Source organism: Homo sapiens, chromosome 4 (assembly GCF_000001405.40).
Source record: "Homo sapiens chromosome 4, GRCh38.p14 Primary Assembly".
Taxonomy (NCBI): domain Eukaryota; kingdom Metazoa; phylum Chordata; class Mammalia; order Primates; family Hominidae; genus Homo; species Homo sapiens.
This window is the reverse complement of record NC_000004.12, coordinates 83,212,391-83,234,310: the sequence shown is the minus strand read 5'-3', so window position 1 is coordinate 83,234,310 and position 21,920 is coordinate 83,212,391. Positions and strand designations below refer to the sequence as shown.

The window sequence follows — 21,920 nt, the reverse complement described above, 5'->3', positions numbered from 1 at the left end:
ATATTCAAGAAAATAAAAAATAGGCTGGGCATGGTGGCTTATGCCTGGAATCCCAGCATTTTGGGAGGCCAAGGCAGGAGGACTGTTTGAGCTCAGAAATTTGAGACCAGCCTGGGCAACATGGCAAAATCCTATCTTTACTAAAAATACGAAAATTAGCCAGGAATGGGGGCATGTGCCTGTAGTCCCAGCTACTCAAGAGGCTGAGTGAGTATTGCTTGTGCCCAGGAGGTCGAGGGTACAGTGAGCCGAGATCATGCCACTGCACTCCAGCCTGGGTGACAGAGTGAGTGAGACCCTGTCTCAAAAAAAACAAAAAAACAAACAAACCAAAAACCAAAAACTAAAACAAAACAAAACAAAAACAAAAACAAAAAAACTCAAGAAAATAAAAACGAATATAAAATTCTAGAAGAATACTACAGCTCATATGTTAAATGTAAGTCAATAATAAAGTTTTTATGAAATGTTATCCCTTTTAAAAGAGTTCTTCTTATGAATATAGGTTTCTTAGTGTATATTTCAAGAATAAACAGTAAGACAGTTTGTTTCTGCCATCCCAAGCTACCTGAGATTAAAAACTATATTTTCTAAAATTGAGTTGCTGGCAAGGAATTTGTCTTATCATACTTATTCAGAATTTGTTTTTCTAGGCCAGTAATGCCTGTAATCTCAGCACTTTGAGAGACCAAAGTGGGAGGATCACTTGAGCCCAGGAATTCAAGCCCACCCTGGGCAACACAGCAAGACCCTGCCACTCCATTATTTTTTAAAATAAAAAATAAATAAATAAAAATTTGTTTTTCTATAGCCTAAAGAAAAATAATTGCCTCTGTTAACATTACATTTCCAAGAAAAATTGTCTGCAAATAGTTTAATTTTAGATGATTACCCCTCTCCAAGGTAGGGCTGGAAGGAGGATAAATTTGGCAGAGACATAGGTTGCACATACTGATCTCAGTTTCTGTTAGGTGCATATAAATAAAAAAAAGTTTCTTCATTTTATTAAAGCCCTATTTTTGTATCATTTTTAGTAATGTATATACCAACATAAATGCTTGATCTCAGTCTCTCCTGATAATTACAAATCAACATATCCAATGCTTAAAGTTACTGTTAAATTAATGTAGAATTGTCAGGTCTTCATTAGAAGTAGTAAGTAGAACACAGAGATTGGTCAAATTTTTCAGTACTTATACTTTTGAAAAAAAGAAAAGAGTATTCTATTCCTGCCAATTAGTATAGTCTTTACCCTGATAAACAATGTCAATATACATTATGATTTTAATTATAAACCCCCTGGAGACAGCAAGTATGTTTATATTTTATTAGTCATTGTACTTAAGAAGCCCCAAAGCTCTCTATTCCTAGTTCAGATTTTCTTTTGTTTGTGTGTGTTTTTGTTTTTTTTTGGATGAAGGTTAAGAGGAAGCTTTCTTTCTTACTTAAAGGTTTGTATGCTGGGCAGATAGTTAATGGTACAGAAATCCAAGCTTTATTTGGGGGAACAAGAGAGCAGACAGGACATAGAGGTCTTATTGGCAGAAGTGGCAAAGTAGGGGACAATCTTTCATAGGATCATAAAATTATAGCCCCCAAACACAATCTAGTGAAATCACCTTGTTTCTAAGAAGGTTTTCACAAAGAGCTAATACTAAAGAATTGGGGTTACAGAATACATGGTATTATCCATGCCAAATACAAACACATGGACATCTTTATTGGAGGAGAAATTTGTTCTGCTCAAGAGCATCTTAAAGATTTCTATTTCCCAGTCATTATTCTTTCCCACAATCCCCTCCCAATAATTAGTCCAGAGGTAGGTCTGGGTTCCCATGGTGGCAGGATATTCAAATATCTCAAGATGGCTCACCATGTCATGAATGACATCTTAATTAATCAGTCTTCAAACAGGGGACACAGTGAGAATAAGGACTCCATGTTTCCTGATCTCAAAACACACTTGAGAGTTAAGAGCATGGGAATGACACTTCTGTGAATTACCACTTGGTGCCTGTTCATTTTTCTCTTCTGAGCAAAGTCCTCTCTTGTGAAATTCTAATACTTTGCATAGAATATTCAGAATTTCCAGACCTCATCGTTGAAGATTTCTTTTGCCTTCACAGTCATAAATATGTTGTAAGATTTGTGTTCCCAAGATCAAAGACAGGTCTCACAAGGGGTCCCCTGCTCTACTACCAGGACACCAACATTTGTTCTTGGTGCATCTTACATCAGCAATCTTTGAAATTCATTAGGTGAGGTCCTATATCCTTTGTTGTATCAGTCATCATCCCCAGCACAGGTTAAACCTCAGATTTCTCCACTCTAAGTGTCCTTGCCCTCAGGGAGGGTGACAGGATGTGGGGTTTCTTTCCAATGTTTTAGGACACACTCATAGCAAAACATGTCCACATCCTGTTGCAATCAGTGTGGTCAAATAGTGTGGAACAAATCAGCCCTTCCTGATATCTTCTGCATCTGAGGCAACCGTGTCCCTTATATGATGTCTGTAGTCAAAGGTTAGACTAGACTAGACAAAGGTTGGTTAGAAAACCAACTCTCAACCACAGACCTTGGTAGTTTCACAACTGTTTTTAAATAATCTCTTACTTCCTCCTTCCTCTCCCTTATCAATGGGGAAATGGTGGGAGTCTCTGGAGCAGAAGCCATAAGCTAATGAAATGTCATGGGACTGGACACACTAATGTTAAGGTCTATGGGCTTTACATCCACAGTTCCAAAAATCTGTCATCTCAGAGCATTAGCATCCAGCTATTTTTTTTTTAGTTTTTGTAGAGATGGGGTTTCACCATATTGGCCAGACTGGTCTTGAACTCCTGGCCTCAAGTGATCCACCTGTGTCGGCCTCCCAAAGTGCCCTGAACCAATACGCCTGGCCAAGTGTGTCTCTCTTTAAATAACTCTCCCCCTTTTTTTCTGTTCCACATCATCCTGTTTGGAAGATAGAGATTTCATTTTGCAGCACTTCTCCCAAACACTTGTCATCTTCCCTTTGGGAGTCTCTGTCCAGGGAATCTTATTATTTAGGAAAAATTTTTAGATGTGTCTTACCAAAGTCTCGGATATATATCTAATGATGTCCAACTCTCCCTATCATGAACTCTAGAATAACCTGACCACTTTTGCCCATGGGTTTCTGTCACTTCTACTTTTCAGACTGGTTCCTTCCGGTGGCCAGCATTTGGTACTTCCTCTACTTTCTGTGAAGACTCTCATTTAGTTAAAAAAAAGAAAAAAAAAATTACTGATGCCGTGGAGCATAGTATTTGTAGATACAAAGGACCTCAGAGGTCAGCCCCTCTCACTTGTTATATGAGGCATCTAAAGTTCTAAGGACTGAGATGTTTGCCCAAGGTCATGTAGTTAATAAATATCATCTATATCAGGCCACTTCGTATGATTGGGCAGGATGTTTATTACCAAAAAGCAACCACCTGACGGGTGAGTAGGGACCAAAATCCAGTCTGTGCTCCTCTTGCCTTGCCAAGCTGTGAGTCCTGCTTAGGACTCTATGCCACACCCCACCACCAGAGAAAAAGGCCTCTCTGTGATTTTTATAAAGGCACTATTTGGCTAATAGTGACGCTAATCTATATGTAAACTTTTCTTCTAATTATCTCAAACCTAAGTGTTAGAAAAAAGTTAATTAGGAAGAAACTTTGCATTTTTATTTTAAAGGAATTAGTATCCTATAACTTTTATGTTCCTAACAATTCTTACATCTTTTTCAAATGCTATTTGTTAATTCTTAAGCAATCTTGGCATTCACAGATTGGGTTGTTTGTTTGTTTGTGGAAACAAGGTCTCACTATGTTGCCTAGGCTGGTCTCAGACTCCTGGGCTCAAGCAGTTCTCCCGCCTCAGCCCCCCAAAGTGCTGGAACAACAGGGATGAGCCACCATGCCTGGCCAGATTTGATCATTTTTGCTTCACCTACTCAAATTATGGGGATGGGGTACAGATTCATTTTTGCTTCACCTACTCAAATTATGGGGATGGGATACAGGTTCAGACTAGGGTCTCAGGATCCAGGACTCTGCTTGAGAATAAGAAGGGCTGGCCCAGGGTTATAGGGTGGAACCAAAGAGAGACTTATGCCCCCACCCACATAAGGGCAGCTTTCTGTCTGATACAAAGGACCTAGTCCAAGGAGACAAGAACTTAATCACAAGGGAAAAGTCTGGAGTAGAGGACAGGACAGAGAGTAGTTCAGAGGCAGACGCTGGAAAGATTTCCTGAGACAAAGGTTCCTGGGGAGTGTTCTTTTGTAGGGGCCTCCTGTGTGCTTTGGATAAAACTGGAAAGTCCAAAAGGCCTAGTCAGCCTGCAGAGCTCCGAGGCAATGCAACAATGCCACTGGAGGTCAAGAGGAGGCGATGACATCAGAGACCAATGACCTGGTTTCAGTGGGACAAAACACTGCAACAAGAGCCCAGCAAGTGCCCACTGGGCCAAACAAAAGCCCACTGTGAACCAGCCACAACACCACCAATGCCACGTGAGTGCATAAACTTTCCCTCTCCCCAAGGCCATCTTGGCTAAGGGAAGAGGAGAGAAGAAAATGCCTAAAACGCTGAGCATTTCCCCAAAAGAGATTAGGTTAACCCCAAAGTAGACTCTGGCTACCTTTACTTGGAAAGTTTATGTTTGGTGATCTACCTTCACTTCATCACTCTATCTCGCCATCAGAGGAAACGGGGCCTTCTGGACAAGAAGAGAATAGTTACAGAAAACAAGAAGGCTACGTGTTCAAGCTTTGAATTCAACTTAACCCCATTACACCTGGTCCCTCGGATCCCAGAGGACATGCTTTGCACATTATTCAGAAGTTACAGAGTTCAAATATAAACGTAGATGACTCTTTTGATGCCCTTGAGGTTGGCTTTTATGCATCAAAAAAGGTTATTCAGAGGTTACTTAGCTTTAAAAATTAATATTTAATTTACTAAAGTTACAACTTAAAAACTTCGCTTACCGCCAGGCATGGTGGCTCATGCCTGTAATTCCAGTACTTTGGGAGGCCAAGGCGGGCGGATCACAAGGTCAGGAGTTCGAGACCAGCTTGGCCAACATGGTGAAACCCCATCTCTACTAAAAATACAAAAATTAGCTGGGCATGGTGGTGCACGCCTGTAATCCCAGCTACTCAGGAAGCTGAGGCAGGAGAATTGGTTGAACCTCGGAGGCGGAGGTTGCAGTGAGCCAAGATTACCCCACTGCACCCCAGCCTGGGTGACAGAGCGAGCGAGACTCCATCTCAAAAAAAAAAAACTTCATTGACCTTAAGATTTAAGTTCAACTTAGAATTCTTGTTGTTCTTTCAGAAATATAGCAAATTTTAAAAGCACTTGAAGGGCCTAAATATGGTTTGGTTCCATTAACAAATGCTATTAGATAAACTCCTTAAAACCTCTTAAAGTGCATTTATAAATTTAACATTATTTATTTTCTTAATATCAATAATTATTCAATTTAATGTCAAAACTTTCCTGGGAACCTAAATAATGCATACAAATCTAGTAGATCAAACACATAAATATGGTGATTTTTAAGTTCTTAAAAGATCTTAGTAACAATCTGACTTAGAATGTAAGTCACTCCCTTTGGTGTTTAGGAAACACAAGACTGATCTCTAGTTTCAACAGACCAAATTCTCTTAAACATTGCAACTACTTACAGTAAGTAATGTACACATTAATACAAAAATATGAATACTGTAGATAATATCCTCTTAAACATTTCTACTCCTAAATCTAAATCTTCGCAAGGTTGGAATATGATTACCCACCATATTAGTTTGCAAGAACTGCTATGACTAAATACCACAAACTGGGTGGCTTAAGCAACAGAAATTTATTTTCTCATAGTTCTGGAGGCTGGAAAGTCCAAGGAGTCAGTAGGTTTGGTTTCTTCTGAGGCCTCTCTTCTTGGCCTGCAGAGACCAGCCTTCTCACTGTGTCCCCAGGTGGTCTTTCTTCTGTGTATATACATCCTTAGTGTCTATTTTTCTGTCCAAATTTCCTCTTTTTAAAAATTTTTCATTTTTTTTAATTTTTATTTTTTTGAGTTGGGGCCTTGCTCTGCTGCCCAGGCTGGAATGCAGTGGTGCAATCATGGCTCACTGCAGCCTCAACCTCCGGGCCTCAAGCAATTCTTCCCGCTCAGGTTCCTCAGGTGTACACTACCATGCCCGGCTAATTTGTGTATTTTTTATAGAGATGGGGGTCTCGATATGTTGCCCAGGCAGGTCTCAAACTCCTGCCCTCAAGCAATCCTCCTACCTCAGCCTCCCAAAGTGTTGGGATTACAGACATGAGTCACCAGCCCCACCCCAAATTTCTTCTTATTATAAGGACACCAGTCAGATTGGATTAGGACCCACATTAATGGCCTAATTTTAATTCAGTCACCTCTTTAAAGGCCCTATCTCCAGGCCAGGCATGATGGCTCACACCTGAAATTTCAGCACTTTGGGAGGCTGAGGTGGGCAGATCACCTGAGGTTAGAAGTTCAAGACCAGCCTGGCCAACATAGTAAAACCCCATATCTACTACTAAAAATACAAAAATAGCCAGGCATGGTGGCATGCACCTGTAGTCCCAGCTACTTGGGAGGCTGAGGTGGGAGGACCACTTGAACCCAGGAGGCGGAGGTTGCAGTGAGCCAAGATTGTGCTACTGCACTCCAGCCTGGTCAACAGAGCAAGACTCTGTCTCAAAATAAATAAAAAATAAATAAAGGACCTATCTCCTAATAAGTCCCATTCTGAGATACTCGGAGTTTGAGCTCCAACATATAAATTTGGAGGGGGAGACACAATTCAGCCCATAACATTCACCAGGGAGACCATTGTGTCAACCCAACAATTTGAGAGATGCCTTTCCAGGACAATTCCTTGCCAGGAGGATGACTGAATGTTGCTGGTGACCTTGATGGAACATACAGAGCCCTCCTTAGAGTGATTCTCAAGGGGTGGTCCTGTAGCCCTTAGAGTCCACATAGTCTACATCTCTATTTCTTACTTTTGCCTCATTACAGAGGACCACATCCCCATCCAGTCTGCTTGGTCAGCGTCCATATTTCTGCAAGTCTTTAATATAGTGTCTGTTATCTAGCTCTGAAGACCATGAGTTAGATGGAATTTTGCAGTTTTTCTATATCCTTCTTTCCTGGTAGAATCACAAAACTCTTTTAGATATTGAATTTATTTCTTTCAAACCTTTTATTCTAATAAAGGCTGAAAGAAAATACAATAGACCCATATATCCTTTGCTCAGGTTCAATGGTTGTTTGTTAACATTTTACCATATTTGCTTTCTCTTTCTCTCTCTCTGTCTCTCTCTTTCTCTCTTTCTGTCTCTCTCTCTCTCTCTCTCTCTCTCTGTGTGTGTGTGTGTGTGTGTGTGTGTGTGTGTGTGTGTGTGTGTGTGTATGTCTATGTGTCTGTCTGTCTATATTTGGCTGAGCCTTTTGAAAGTACATTGTAGAAGTCATGACACTTGCCAAGCGTGGTGGCTCACACCTTTAATCCCAGCACTTTGGGAGGCCGAGGCAGGCAGATCACGAGGTCAAGAAATCGAGACCATCCTGGCCAACCCACACGGTGAAACCCCGTCTCTCCTAAAAATACAAAAATTAGCTGGGCGTAGTGGCACATGCCTGTAGTCCCAGCCACTTGGGAGGCTGAGGCAGGAGAATCGCTTGAACCTGAGAGGTGGAGGTTGCAGTGAGCCAAGATCACGCCACTGCACTCCAGCCCGGGCGACGGAGCGAGACTCATCTCAAAAAAAAAAAAAAGACACTTCACCTATAAATATTAATACATTAATCTTCTCCTAGAAATATAGACAGTCTCATACATAAACAATACCCTTTTTATATCTAAAAATTAATAGTAATTTGATAATATCCTCTAATTTACAGTTTATATTCAAATTTCACAAATCCCATAAATGTCTTTTATAGGTGTGTTTTTCCAGAGCAGTATCCCATCATATATTTGCATTTGGTTATTATATCTCTTTAGTTCCCCTGCTTTTTTCCCCATAAGATTGGAATGCTCCATTAGGTGTTAAGGACACTGTTTGAGCACTTGGTTAAGATGGTGAGTGCCAGGTCTCTCTATGGTAACAGTTCTTTTCTTTTTGCAATTAGTGAACAATCTGTGGAGTGATTCTTTGTCACCATCGGGAAACAGAAAGACAGACGATATATAGATAGATCCTGGAAAAGTTCTTTAGTTTTCTTTACAAAAATAGCCAAAGAATTTATTGAGACTTCGTAAGTGTTAACATCTTCATTTTATTATACATAATTCAAGGTGCTGTTTCTCAAATGTGGGTAAATATATCCCCAGAGATATGCTGTAGAAGGCTGAGTTAGGCAAAGTGCACAGGACAGATCAGAACTTACAGGAATTATTTTATGTGGTGATATTAACACAATGTAAAAACGCTTTCATGCTGAGACAATTGCAGATATATTAATGGAGTAAAATGTAAATCCACACATATTTTTTAAATGAAGCATGCAAATTCAAAGAAAATTTGAGCTTAGGGAGTTTAAAATAGGCTGCTTTGGACTATTTCCCTAACCTCCCAGAAGTCCTTTTCTACTTTTCTGTCCTGAAGAGGATGGTCATAGGAAAGTGTGAGAAGTGCTGGCTTTAGAGAACATATCTGTATTTTGTCCCTGAGGAACTGGTGGGAACCTCTCTTCTAGAGTATCTAAAGGAATCACCCCTGCTCCCATGTAAGCGACTCCAATTCTGCTGAAACTCCTGTTTGCCACTTTTCAGGGGCACATTTGTCAAGCTATTCTGGGCTCGTGTCAAATGCACTCAGATGGCTTTCTTGGTTCCTAGTCCTTATTATTATTTGCAGATCGTTCTTGGTCTTTTTTAATGCAGTATGTTCAATGTTTGACTTAAGTATCATTTATTAGTTGATTTTTTTTACAACGTTTTCTCCCTTCAACACTCAACTAGGCAATGCAGGCAGTCTGTTGTCTCTGTTACCCAGGAATCACACCTTGCTGTAATGTATGCTTTTCCTTTATCAACCTTTCCTGTCCTTGCAACCCAACAGATCGCCGATCCAGGAACACACATTACAGCAAGCTGCCATCGTTGGGGTCATCTGCCCCTTTGGGAAGGGAGCTTAATTGGGCTCCAAGATGAAAATGTATTTCCCTTACTTACAATACTTTAACCAGTGCTGAATTACCCAACACTCAGACAAAGTACGCATTTGACCAGTGTTAAACTAAGGCACAATAAAATTTTAAAGAGTTTATTTGAGTAGTGATTTGTGAATCAGGAAACACCAAATCAAAGCTGGTTTGGGCTCTGCCAAGGGGATGCAAGAGGAAGTCTTTTACAGGGTGCACATGAAGGTAAAGTGTCTTAGTTTTGTGTTGCTTCACAGAATACCACAGACTGAGTAATTAATGTATAGAGTAAAGAAATTTATTTCTCACAGTTCTGGAGACTAGGAAATCCAATATCAAGGTGCCAGCATCTGGCGAGGGCCTTCTTGCTGCATCACCCCATGGCAGAGGGTGGAAGGGCAAGCAAGCCAACTTGCAACCTCAAGCATTAATCCATTCGTGAAGCCCTCCTAGTCTAATCACCTCCCAAAGGTCCCACCTCTTGACATTGTTGCTTTGGGGGTTAAGTTTCCTACAAATGTTCTTGGGGAAACACATTCAAACCACAGCATAAAGCGAAGGAAAGAAATATTTGATTGGTTACAGTTATACAGTTGTCTTATTTGGTCTTTCCTACTGGAAATTTCCTAGTTAGTTACCTATAAATTAGATGGCGGCTTCTGATTGGCTGAACTTAAGTTTCATTTTACTTTAATGTAGACATTTACAAAAGAAATAACCCCAAGCTAAGTTTCTCTTACGTTTTCAAATCAAACATGGTCAGCGTTGCCTCCGTGGCTTAACTGACTTTGTTTGCTCAGGAATTCTTCAAGCCTGGTCTCCATTTTAATTTTCAACACCAGTAATAAAGCAGAAGGATCCAAAAATTATTTTTTGTGAGATAATTAAACATTCTCTCAAAGCATAAAATTTGTCAGCCTAGGCAAAGTAAGAGCTCTGTCTGACCACCTCATACTTATTTTATGATTTGCTGTAGTTTTAATTTTTAATTACATACCTGGGGAAGAAGGGAGAAATCATCTCTTCAGTGCTCAAGGTTTCTGCTGGTCTTAGTGGGTCTGTGGGCCATGCGTGTCCTGACACCACTGCCAGGCATCCTCCCCTAGCTGGCAACAGCTCAGGTCCATCCTGGCATGATCACTCTCTGGCATGCACTAAAACCATTAGAAAAGCCACAAGTTTGGGAACATACCTACATTTCCCTTAATTGTAATCCTTTGCTGGGAATAGACTTGTGGTCTATTACCTTGGGGATTACCATGCTTAGGTACTTCTAACAATGAGAACTAAACTCAGAGTTCACGGCCGCCTTTGTTCCTGACCATGGAAAAGGGAGTATGGCAGTGGCTGAGAATTAAGCTCTAGAACAGTGTTCCAAACTGGATCCAGAACCTTGGTTGGGGGAGTAATATATCTTTGTTTTCACTAACCTTAAAATAAAATTTAGCATTTTGCTTAATTATGAGTGTAGGCAAGAAACTCCAGTAGTTTTAACAAAACTCATGACTTTCCACTAGTAGAAATCACAGATATTTTTAGAGCCAATTCAATTGTTAGACATGCCTTGAAATATCATTTCACTCACTACTACTTCAAAATTATTGAAGTTTTTAGACCCCTGATAGGTACACAGTCTTCTTATAATCAGTGCTATTGAGCAATTATCAGCCTATTTCTCCCGTGTTCTGTATTGCTCATTCAGAGATATACATTGTTTCTCCGTAATTCCATGTCTACAAAGTTCTCTGTCCATTTATTTAAGAAGAGAAAGCTAAGTACATCTAGAGACACTTAAAACTCTTTCAACAACTATTTCTGTCATAATGGCATCAAAGCTGAACCATAAATTCACAGTCATATCCTTTTTAATATAAGTTGTATTGGTTCGAGACTAGCCTGGCCAACATGGTGAAACCCCATGTCTACTAAAAATACAAAAATTAGCCAGGCATGGTGGCACGTGCCTATAATCCCAGGTATTCAGGAGGCTGAGATAGGAGAATTTCTTGAACCCGGGAGGCGGAGGTTGCAGTGAGCCGAGATCGTACCACGGCACACCAGTCTGGGTGACAGAGCAAGACTTTTGTTACAAAAAAGAGAAAATTGGAGTCGAACTTTAAAAGTCTTAGATAATTCTGGTGTTCCTTGAGAGAAGCCTTGAAAAATCAGATATGAAAGCTGTCATTTCATTTGCAACAAAATATCTTTGTGAAACAAGATCTTTAACACTTGTAATTATCAAAACAAAAAATAAAATAGACAATGTCTACGAAGACATGCATATTGCATTGTTGTTTTAAAATGTAGGTTTTCATATTATTTAGGTATTGCAAGGCCAACAGATCAGGAGATGACTGCCATTGACAAGACAGTTGGTTATATTCACAGATCCCAAGAGAAGGGGATGCACCATGCCATGGGGCTGAGGGATGTGACATGTAGAACACTGGGGTCAGTCAGGAGGCAGAGACGGGAATATATGGGCAAGAGCCTTTTTTGGTCTCCTCGAGAAGGAACAGAGTGGGCAGCAGGGTAAGTAGGCCTCACATTGGCTGGCTTGAATAATTTCAGCGGGCTCTGGGGTGGAGGGAGTGTCTCTAGTTGTCAGGGGCCAGGTAGCAGGCCCTGGGGTGATTAGGCCAGGCAGACAGTGGCCTAGAGTGTAAGAAAACAATAAAGGACATGATTGAAGCCGGGCACAGTGGTGCACACCTGTAATGCCAGCACTTTGGGAGGCCGGGGCAGGCAGATCAGTTGAGCTCCAGGAGTTCAAGACCAGCCTGGGCACCATGGCAATACCCCGTCTCTACTAAAAATACAGAAATTAGCCAGGCGTGCAGTGAACTTAAATCACTCCACTGCACTCCAGCCTGGGCAACAGAGTGAGACCCTGTCTCAAAAAAAGAAGGTGATTTGGGTATGAGCTCTGGACTAGCTGGTTTGCATATGAAATGCACGCTCCCAGGTGGGTGAAGCATTTATTATCTCTAGGTATTGACTAGCCCTGGGAATGGCAGTCTCTCTAGGGTCACAAGGCCCCAGATGTCAAATATCAAATACAGAAACTAGAAAATGTGGTTATTACACTTGACAAAGTTTGTCGCACTTTCTAATCTTCTTATTCAAGCCAAGGAACAATAGCCTTCATGCCAATATGTCTTAAAATATAAAAATCTAACTTTAATTTGCCTATATTTCAGACATGCCTTCTCACTGAGACCACATATATATCCCAAATTTATTTTATTTTAATAGGTTGACATATTATTTATTGCTGCATAGCAAATTACTTCACAAGTGATTAAAAACAGCAAACATTTGTTATCTGTGGGTTTGGAAGGCAGGTGCAGCTTAGCCAGGTGGTTTTGGGTCCAGTTGTGTCACGTGGCCGTAACAAGGTGTCAGCCAGGGCCTCTGTTCTCTAAGACCGCACAAAGTGGGGGCTGCTTCCAAGCTCCCTCACGTGGTTGTTGGAAGGCCTCAGGTCTTAGACACATGGACCTCTCCACCTTACAGCTACCTTAGGACGTGGCAGCTGGCTTCTTCAAGTGGGAACAACTCAAGAGAGAGCAAGAGAAAGCATTCAAGAAGCCACAATCTCTCTGGAACCTAATCTCAGAAGTGGCATACCATCATTTCTCCCATACTCTGTTCATCAGAAGTGAGTCACTAGGTCCAGCCCCAACTCAAAGGGAGGAGATTACATGAAGGAATAAATACCATGAGTAGGGACCACCTTTGAGGCTGCCTACCGCAGTTGAAAACTATACTTCGGTATTTCAAGGCCAGGTGTCATGGCTCATGCCTGTAATCCCAGCACTTTGGGAGGCCGAGGCGGGTGGGTCACTTGAGGCCAGGAGTTTGAGACCTGCCTACCCAACATGGAGAAACCCCTTCTCTACCAAAAATACAAAAATGAGCCAGGCGTGGTGGCACATGCACGTAGTCCCAGCTACTCAGGAGGCTGAAGCAGAAAAACTGCTTGAACCTGGGAGGTGGAGGTTGCAGTGAGCCGAGATCGTACTGCTGCATGCCAGCCTGGGTGACAGAGAATTGCTTTTCTTTGTACTGTGTATTTTATTTTTTGCATTTGAAAATAGTATTCTGAGAAGAGGTCCAAAGGCTTCACTAGCTGTATATATAACACAGACAAAGAGTCCCTGCTTCAGTGCCAGACAGATTTGGGTCCAAACCCTGCCTCACCCACCAGCCATGTGGACCTTGAGCAATAACTTCACCTTTGCAGGCATCGGTTGCTCCAACAATAAAATGGACATAATAACAGCATATATCATAGACTTGTTGTAAGGGTTAAATGAAGTCATGCAAAACATTAACATTCTGCCCAGAATATATTAACAAATGGTAGTTATCATCAGTTTAGAAAAGAGCGTGCCTAAATTTCATATGTGTGCATAGTGTTCTACTTCACATGATTATAGAAGCCTGGGATCATGTTTATTAGTGGTCGGGTTCTACTCTTTCTTCCGTTGTATATTTTAAATACCTTAACAAATGTGATGAAGCCTAACGTGTTGGTACCAGATCCCTTACCAAAAGCACCACATAGGCCAGGTGTAGTGGCTCACACCTGTAATCCCAGCACTTTGGGAGGCCAAGGCGGGCAGGTAACTTGAGGTCAGGAGTTGGAGACCAGCCTGGCCAACATGATGAAACCCCGTCTCTACTAAAAATACAAAAATTAGCTGGGCGTGGTGGTGTGTGCCTGTAATCCCAGCTACTCAGGAGACTGAGGCAGGAAAATTGCTTGGACCCAGGAGGCGGAGGTTGCAGTGACCCAAGATCACGCCACTGCACTCCAGCCTGGGTGGCAGAGCAACACTCTGTCTCAAACAAAAACAAACAAACAAAAAACAAAACAAAACAAAAAACACACGACAAAAAAATACCAAGTATTATTATATCCAGATGTATTATATTAACACAAATGACATAAGCATAAGAACGAAATACTGGGCCAAAACGTCCATAGCGGGGAAATGCATAATCCAGCAACCTTCTTACCCATAAAATCTCAGGCCTGATGGTTTGCATTTTCAATGCATTGGCCACTTGTTACACAGTATGCAGGTGACTGCTGTGGAAGATGAGTTGGACTGGAAAAAGATTAAAACCTCTTTCTTCCAGCCACCTGCTTCTGACCAGGTGTTCCTTCCTGCCAATGCAGTACAAAAAGGAAGAGGCAGAGAAGGACCGCAGTTACTCTGTCATCATGTGATCTGTGTTTGTGAATCACGTTTGACAGAGGGCTTGTGCTATCCAGGAATCCAGTAACCATTCAGAGTCAGCGTGGACACCTGAGAGTCAGGAATGGCTTGCTGCCTCCATCTGTTAGTTTCCCTGAGTCTGGAGACCAGGAAGGCAGGATCTGGAATGGGCAAGTGCAGTGTTTTCTCATATTCTGACTTGGAGTCAGGACCCAGGTAGAAACTGCTGGTTCCACTTTGGTAGAGAGCCTCTCCCCGAGCTGGCCTCCTTTGCCCTGGCATGTCCAGCACACAAAGGAGGACATTATTAATATAAACGAGCGGACAGCATCTGTTGCCAGAGAGTCTTAATTAGTCCCCAGCTGGGACTGTGCCACGGGCACATTGCATGTTAGTTGTGATTTCCCAGAAACAATGAGGGAAGACCGAAAACACGAAAACACGTTGTTCCTCCACAGCCCCGCCCTCTCCTGCAACCTCACTCTCAATTCTGGGTTGTAGTTTTTCAAAACAGTACTAGAGAGTTTGATCTGAAATATCTTGATTAGTACTGGAATGAAAATGAATTAAAATTAAGCAAAATGTACATGGGATCTCTTGGTACTATTTCTTACCAACTGCATGTGAATCTACAATTACCTCAGAATAAAAAGTTAAATTTTAAAAATTCAAGCTGCTCAGAATTTACTGTGACAGGAAGAAAGAAAGAAACTGAAAAGGAGGAGGAGGAGGAGGGAAAGAAGAAAGCCCTATTCTGAAAATCAACTTTCTATTTTTTTCTTAAATGGATTTCCTCAATCAAGTTATACCTATCCAAATGATATTCTGTGCCTAGTGGAAGGTTGTGGAACAGAAAATGACACCTGCTCTTTTCCTCTCCTTTCCCCTGACCAATCTGACAAGATCCTTAATAGCAACTGTAAAGAGTATCTCCAGTATTATAAACGAGAGCTGGTCAAGGCCGCCCGCAGTGGCTCAGGCCTGTCATCCCAGAACTTTGGGAGGCTGAGACTGGAGGATCAATTGTGCCCAGGAGTTTGAGACCAACCTTGGTAACATAGGAAGACCCTATCTCTACAAAAAAAAAATGTTTTTTTAATTATCCGGGCGTGGTGGTGTGCACCCATAGTCCCATCTACTTGGGAGACTGAGGCAGGAGGATCACTTGAGCCTGGGAGGTCGAGGCTACAGTGAGCTATGATCACACTACTGCACTCTAGCCTGGGTCCTGGGTGACAGAGTGAGGCCCTGTCTCAAAAAAATAAAAATAAAGAGAGCTGGTCAGAGTTGCTGACTCCCCTCCAGAGAGAAGGACAGAGAAGATACACTTTTCATGATAAATCCTTTTAGACTTCTAAATTTTATAGTGTGTATATATACTACCTAGTCCCAAAATATTATTCCTCAAATCTTACATAAGGTCTAGCTCAAACAAGTCCTTCTTGATTAAGCCTTTCCCGTTTTACCACTTAGAATTCACCACTAATAGAGGGGTAGTGCTCAAGCCTGGCTGCCAGTAGAAAAACCTGAGAGATTTTTAAAAAATGCCCAAACTCGGTGCCCTCCCCAGACCAGTGGACTGAGAATCGTGGAGGGGAGGAGGTCAATCTGGGTATTTTTCAAAGCTCCTCAAGTAATGTTAATATGTACTCGGGGTTGAGAACTTTTGCCCTGACCCTTTATGGAGCCCATATTTAAGCACTCACCCTATGAGTAAACTGAGTAATTGATTAAAAAGTAAAAAACACTTTCACACCTTTTATCTCATTTGGTCTCTATAATAACAACACGTAAACTGGGCTTCATTTTCCCACTGCACAGAGGAGGAAGTGGAGAGCTGAGCTGCTAGAAGTTACCAAGGTCCCTTTGAGAGCTTCAGTTCTGCACTTCTTGTATTTGATCATCTCCCCTGAGATTAACAGATTTTGCTCTCCCCACCCAGAGCCCAGTATCGCACCTTTCATTCAAGCAGTTCAACCTCAATAACCAAAACAGTGAAAAATGAGTAGCTCAGCAGAACACCAGGAAGTCACTCCCAGTGACAGAACCCCACAGGGTGGTTCAGCTTCCTCATAGGTTTCTCACATTACGGGTAACAGTTCATCTTCCTGTTTCTTTCACTTCTTGTTTACCCCTATCAAAACCACCTCAGTCGCATATTTGAAATGCATTTTCCCAAGCCCCAGATTAATCAGAATCCCCGCGGGTGTTGTTCAAGTATATCTTGTGTGTATGTGTGTATCTGTGGGAAAATATACATAAAATTCACCATCTTAGCCCATTTTGTGTGTGGTTTAAGCAACAAATATTTATTTTCTCACAGTTCTGGAGGTTGGAAGTCTGCAATCAGAGCATCAGCATGGTCAGGTGAGGGTCCTCTTCCCAGCTGGCGGGGGTCCACCATCTCAAGGTGTCCTCACTTGGCCTGTTTGGCCTTTGCAGAAGACAGGCAGATCTGGAGAATGAGAGATTACTACAGACTTAATCAGGTGGCGGCCTCAATTGTAACTGCTATTCCTGATGTGGATTCATTCTGGAGCAAATCAGCCCATCCCCTGGTGCCTAGCAGGCAGCTACTGGTAGGCGAAGGCTTTCTTCTCCATCCCTGCATCTTGTGGCTCACTAACATGCACGTGAGCCTGGTATGCCAGGAACACGTGCTGCGCCAGCGGCTGGGCTTCCAGCGAGGTACAGAGAGGGGACACACGCCTTTCAGGGGGAGAAAGGGGCAGGGAGGGCCTCTAGGGACACCACGTCAGGACCCTCCCACTGCACCCAGGCCTTGGAGTGGGCCACCCTGCCCAGGACCCATCTTAACCATTTTTAAGTGCACCATTCAGTGGCAGTAAGTACATTCACATGTTGTGCTATCATCACCATGGTCTATCTCCAGAACTTTTTAATCTTCCCATACAGAAACACCTATTAAAGAACTTCCTATTCCCCTCTCCCCCAGCCCCTGTTAACCACCATTCACTTTCTGTTTCTAGGAGTTTGACTACTTTATTAGATTGCTGCAAAAGTAATTGTGGTTTCCATATTTAAAAAAAAATGGCAAAAGCTGCAATTAATTTGTTTTTTTGGTTTTTTTTTTTTTTTTTGAGACGGAGTTTCACTCTTGTTGCCCAGGCTGGAGTGCAATGGCACAATCTCAGCTCACTGTAACCTCTGCCTCCTGAGTTCAAGCGATTCTCCCGCCTCAGCCTCCTGAGTAGCTAGGATTACAGGCATGCGCCACCACACCCAGCTAATTTTGTATTGTTAGTAGAGACGGGGTTTCTCCATGTTGGTCAGGCTGGTCTCGAACTCCTGACCTCAGGTGATCCGCCTGCCTCCACCTCCCAAAGTGCTGGGATTACAGGCATGAGCCACTGTACCCAGCCTGCCTATTTTTTAATCGAATTATTTATTTTTATGTGGTTGAGTTGTAGGAGTTCTTTATATATTCTGGATATTAACTCCTTATCAGATCTATGGTTTACAGATATTTGCTCCCATTCTGCAGGTTGCCTTTCCACTCTGTTGATTGTTTCCTTTCCTGCACAGAAGTTTTTGCAGTCCCACTTGCTATTTTTGCTTTTGTCACCTGTGCTTTTGTGTCATACACTAGACATCATTGCCAAATCCAATGTCATGAAGATTTCCTCCTATATTTTCTCCTAAGAGTTTTATAGCTTCAGGTCTTACATTTAGGTCTTTAATACATTTTCAGTTAATTTTTGTACAGTCAAGAGTCCAATTTCATTCTTTTGCAGGTGGATATCCGGTTTTCCCAATTCCATTTGTTGAGAAACTATCCTTTCCCCATTGTGTTGTCTTGACACTCTTGTCAAAGATCATTTGATGATATACATGAGAGTTTATTTCTGGGCTCCTTATTCTGTACCATTGGTCTATATGTCTGTCTTTATGTCAGTGACATTCTGTTTTAATTACCCTACCTCTGTAATGCTTTAAAATCAGGAAGTGTGAGGCTTCCAGCCTTGTTTTCCTTTCTCAAGATGTTTTGGCTATTTTTGAGATTCTATATGGATTTTAGTATTTTTTTTCTATTTCTATAAACAATGACATTGGAATCTTTGATAAGCATTGCATTGGATCTGTATATTGCTTTGTGTAGTATGGATATTTTAATGCTTCCAATCCCTGAACATGAGATGTCTTTCTGTTTGTGTCTTATTTAATTTCATTTAGCAATGTTTTACAGTTTACTATATGCCTTTCACTTTCTTGGATAAGTATTTTATTTATTTGATGCTGTTGTAAATGGGATTGTTTTATTAACTTTTTTCAGATTACTCATTGTCAGTCTTTAAAAATGCAACTGATTTTTGTGCGCTGAATTTGTATCCTCCAACTTTGCTAAATGTATTAGTTCTAACAGTTTTTTATTTTTCTGGAATATTTCAGATTTTCTACAAATAAGATTATATTATTTGCAAACATATATAATTTTTTTCTTCCTTTCTAATTTGAGTGCCTTTTATTTCTTTTTCTTACCTAATTGTTTGGGCTAGTACTACCCATAGTATGTTGAGTAGAAATGTAGAAAATGGACATTCTTGTCTTGTTTCTGATCTTGAAAGAAAGCCTTCAGTTTTTCACCGCTGGGTATGATTATTAGCTATAGCCTTTATTATGTCAAGATAATTTCCTTCCATTTCTGAGCTGAGTCTGTACCTGCTCCTGTACCTGTTCTCAGAAAAAGCCAGCTATGGGTGAAGAGACGGTGTGGAGAGAGGCCCACCAAAAACCTGGCAGGCTTCAGAGTTTTCTAGTGCTGAGTGGTCAAGTGTCCCTCTGGTCTGCTTAACACTTCCTCTACCTAACCCTTCCTCAGAAATCACTGTCTTCCCTCATTCAAGAGGAGGAGAAAGAGAGTGAACAGTGTACCAAGTGCTGACATGCATTATCTCATTGAAGCCTCACTAGGTATTACTATCTGCATTTTGTAGATGAGAGAAGTGAGGCTCGTGAAGTTTAAGCAACTTGCACAACCAGCGTCAAATAAGTGGACAATTAGAAGTGGTGGAGATTGGACCCTAAAATGAGTCTTTCCAGACATAATACCCAGGTTCTTCCCACTGTAGCTCCTTCTCTCATTCATTCAACGAATGCCTACTACGTGCCTTTCCCTGTGCTAGGAGCTCAGAGAACTACAAGGAAAAGCAAGATGTGGCACCTGCATTCAAGGAAACCACTGCTAAGAGAGGATATAAATGCCAAATCTGTAATTATAACAGATAGAAAAAAGTGCTACAGGGTGTAAACACTATGGGAGCACAGACAAGCAGGGATTCTGGGGTATGAGTTGAGATCCGCTCACCCAAAGCAATGTCCAGTCCTGCAAGCGCCTTTTACAGTAAGTGCCCTATATAGGTGTACCATTTTTAATATTTTATACTGTATTTTTATTATACTTTTCCTACATTTAAATACACAAATACCATTGTGTTACAGTTGCCTAGAGTATTCAGTATAGTAACATGCTGTACAGGTTTGTACCTAGGAGAACTAGGCTATACCATATAGCCTAGGTGTGTAGTAGGCTATACCATCTAGGTTTGTGTAAGTGCACTCTATGATGTTCACACAAGGACAAAATTGCTTACCAATGCATTTTCAAGAGTGTATCCCTGTTGTTAAATGATGCATGACTATATTATCATCATTATTATCCTCTGATCAAACTCTCCAGTGCCTTCCACTCTGACTCAGATAAAAGCTGAAGTCTTTACAGTGGCCTATGAAACCCAACATCAGGGGTGTCCAATCTTTTGGCTTCCCTGGGCCACATTGGAAGAATAATTGTCTTGGGCTACACATAAAATATACTAACTCTAATGATAGCTGATGAGCTAAAAGAAAAAAAAATCTCATGATGGTTTAAGAAAGTTTACGTATTTGTGTTGGCTGCATTTAAAGCCATCCTGGACTGCATGAGGCCTGTGGGTACCTGCGGGTTGGACAAGCTTGCCCTACGTGTTCTGACCCCGGTTATCTCCTGTTTCTCTCACTCATGTTTTCTCTACTCAAGCCATCCTGACCTCTTTGCTCTTCCTTGAAAGTGCCAGGCATGCTCCCACCTCAGGACCTTTGCACATGCAGTACCTTTGCCTGGAGGGCTCTTCCCCAGGTCTCTGCCTGGCTCGCTGCATAATTCCTCCACATTTCTGCTCACATGTCACTTTCCCTGACTACCCTATCAAAAATTGCAAACAACCCCACTGCAATACTTCCCTATTGTATTTTTCTCCATATTTTCTATTACCATCTAATATGCCACATAATCGATTTAGTTTTCCTATTTATCTGTTTCCCTCACTTAAGCTCTACCAGGGCAGAATTTTTGCCTGTTTCATTTGCTTCTGTAACCCCAGTATCTACAACAGTGCCTGACACAGAGTAGGTGCTCAATAACTGTTTATTCATTATATCAGTTAATTACTTAATGGCAAGTCTGCACTGACACTCCAACATCTCTGGTTTTATTAAATGTCTCTCATAACTGTGGTGATTATTTCTGTATTGGCAGACATGCAATTAATCCATTATGTACAATATGCAAACACTCTGTTGGAGACAGATACACAGTGACATATGAGACATGGCAGTCCCTTGTCTCCAAGAAGCTGTGGTTTGACCAGAAACGGAATATCTGAAATTGAGACAGTTCTCAAAAGTCTGGAAACCATGGTTCCCGGTGTCCCAGACTGGAATCTGCAGAAAGAGCAGCAGAGAGAAAGTCTTTGCCATGTCTTAAAAACTAAGTGTCTGGTCCAGTGGTCCACTGAGCATGTTGTTCATTCTGGGCCTGAGAACATCTAGTGAGGATAGCTAATGTTCATATAGTTCAGTGAAATTAATACTAATTAACAACCAGGTACACCATGAAACTATCTGAAGAAACCTGCTCCCTGGTTTTAATAGAGAAGTGGATTCTTGCCTGTGTTACTGTTAACTTTTACAATTGTGTCTTGTTAATGCTTTCCTGTCCATTTTTCCCATGATTGTGTCAATTTAGGGGAAGAGAGCAGAGTAGACATCATTTTCTCAAGATTTGCATCAAGTCAAACGGCACTTTTTTTCCCCTCCCAAACAGGACCATATTTGTCCTTTCCTTTGCTGAAAGTAGCACTAACATAGTAAGTGATAGGTCAGGTGTTACTTCCTTGCCCAGGTGTTGATTCTAATTTTGGCACCAAATCGTGTATATTTAAGCAGAAACCTCACAGAGGGTGTGTTTCACACTGTGCGCATATCAAAACAGGTTTCAGCTGGTGTGGGTGCCCACAATTCAACTAACTCCACCTGTGCAGTAACCAAACCCTCCTACAGAACAAAACCAACTTGAATGTTTGGCTGCAGTCAACAGTGATTAAGAACACAGTCCTGAAGCTTTGTATTCAGAAGGAAAATTCTTGTCTGTCACGCCCTCCACCACCCCCACCCACACCCACACCTCAGCCTAGGTGGGGTTGTTGAGTTTCATTCTTCCAA

The 21,920-nt window shown here is 41.6% G+C and overlaps 4 annotated features.

Moving 5' to 3' along the window:
* Window positions 12,708–12,807: an enhancer, noted in NCBI's record as "active region_21684". NCBI's record gives its function as "activates an Ori minimal core promoter by ATAC-STARR-seq in GM12878 lymphoblastoid cells {active_cell/tissue: GM12878}" and the evidence as "EXISTENCE:reporter gene assay evidence [ECO:0000049][PMID:35858748]".
* Window positions 14,517–14,776: an enhancer, noted in NCBI's record as "active region_21683". NCBI's record gives its function as "activates an Ori minimal core promoter by ATAC-STARR-seq in GM12878 lymphoblastoid cells {active_cell/tissue: GM12878}" and the evidence as "EXISTENCE:reporter gene assay evidence [ECO:0000049][PMID:35858748]".
* Window positions 17,234–17,303: an enhancer, noted in NCBI's record as "active region_21682". NCBI's record gives its function as "activates an Ori minimal core promoter by ATAC-STARR-seq in GM12878 lymphoblastoid cells {active_cell/tissue: GM12878}" and the evidence as "EXISTENCE:reporter gene assay evidence [ECO:0000049][PMID:35858748]".
* Window positions 21,664–21,713: a silencer, noted in NCBI's record as "silent region_15540". NCBI's record gives its function as "represses an Ori minimal core promoter by ATAC-STARR-seq in GM12878 lymphoblastoid cells {active_cell/tissue: GM12878}" and the evidence as "EXISTENCE:reporter gene assay evidence [ECO:0000049][PMID:35858748]".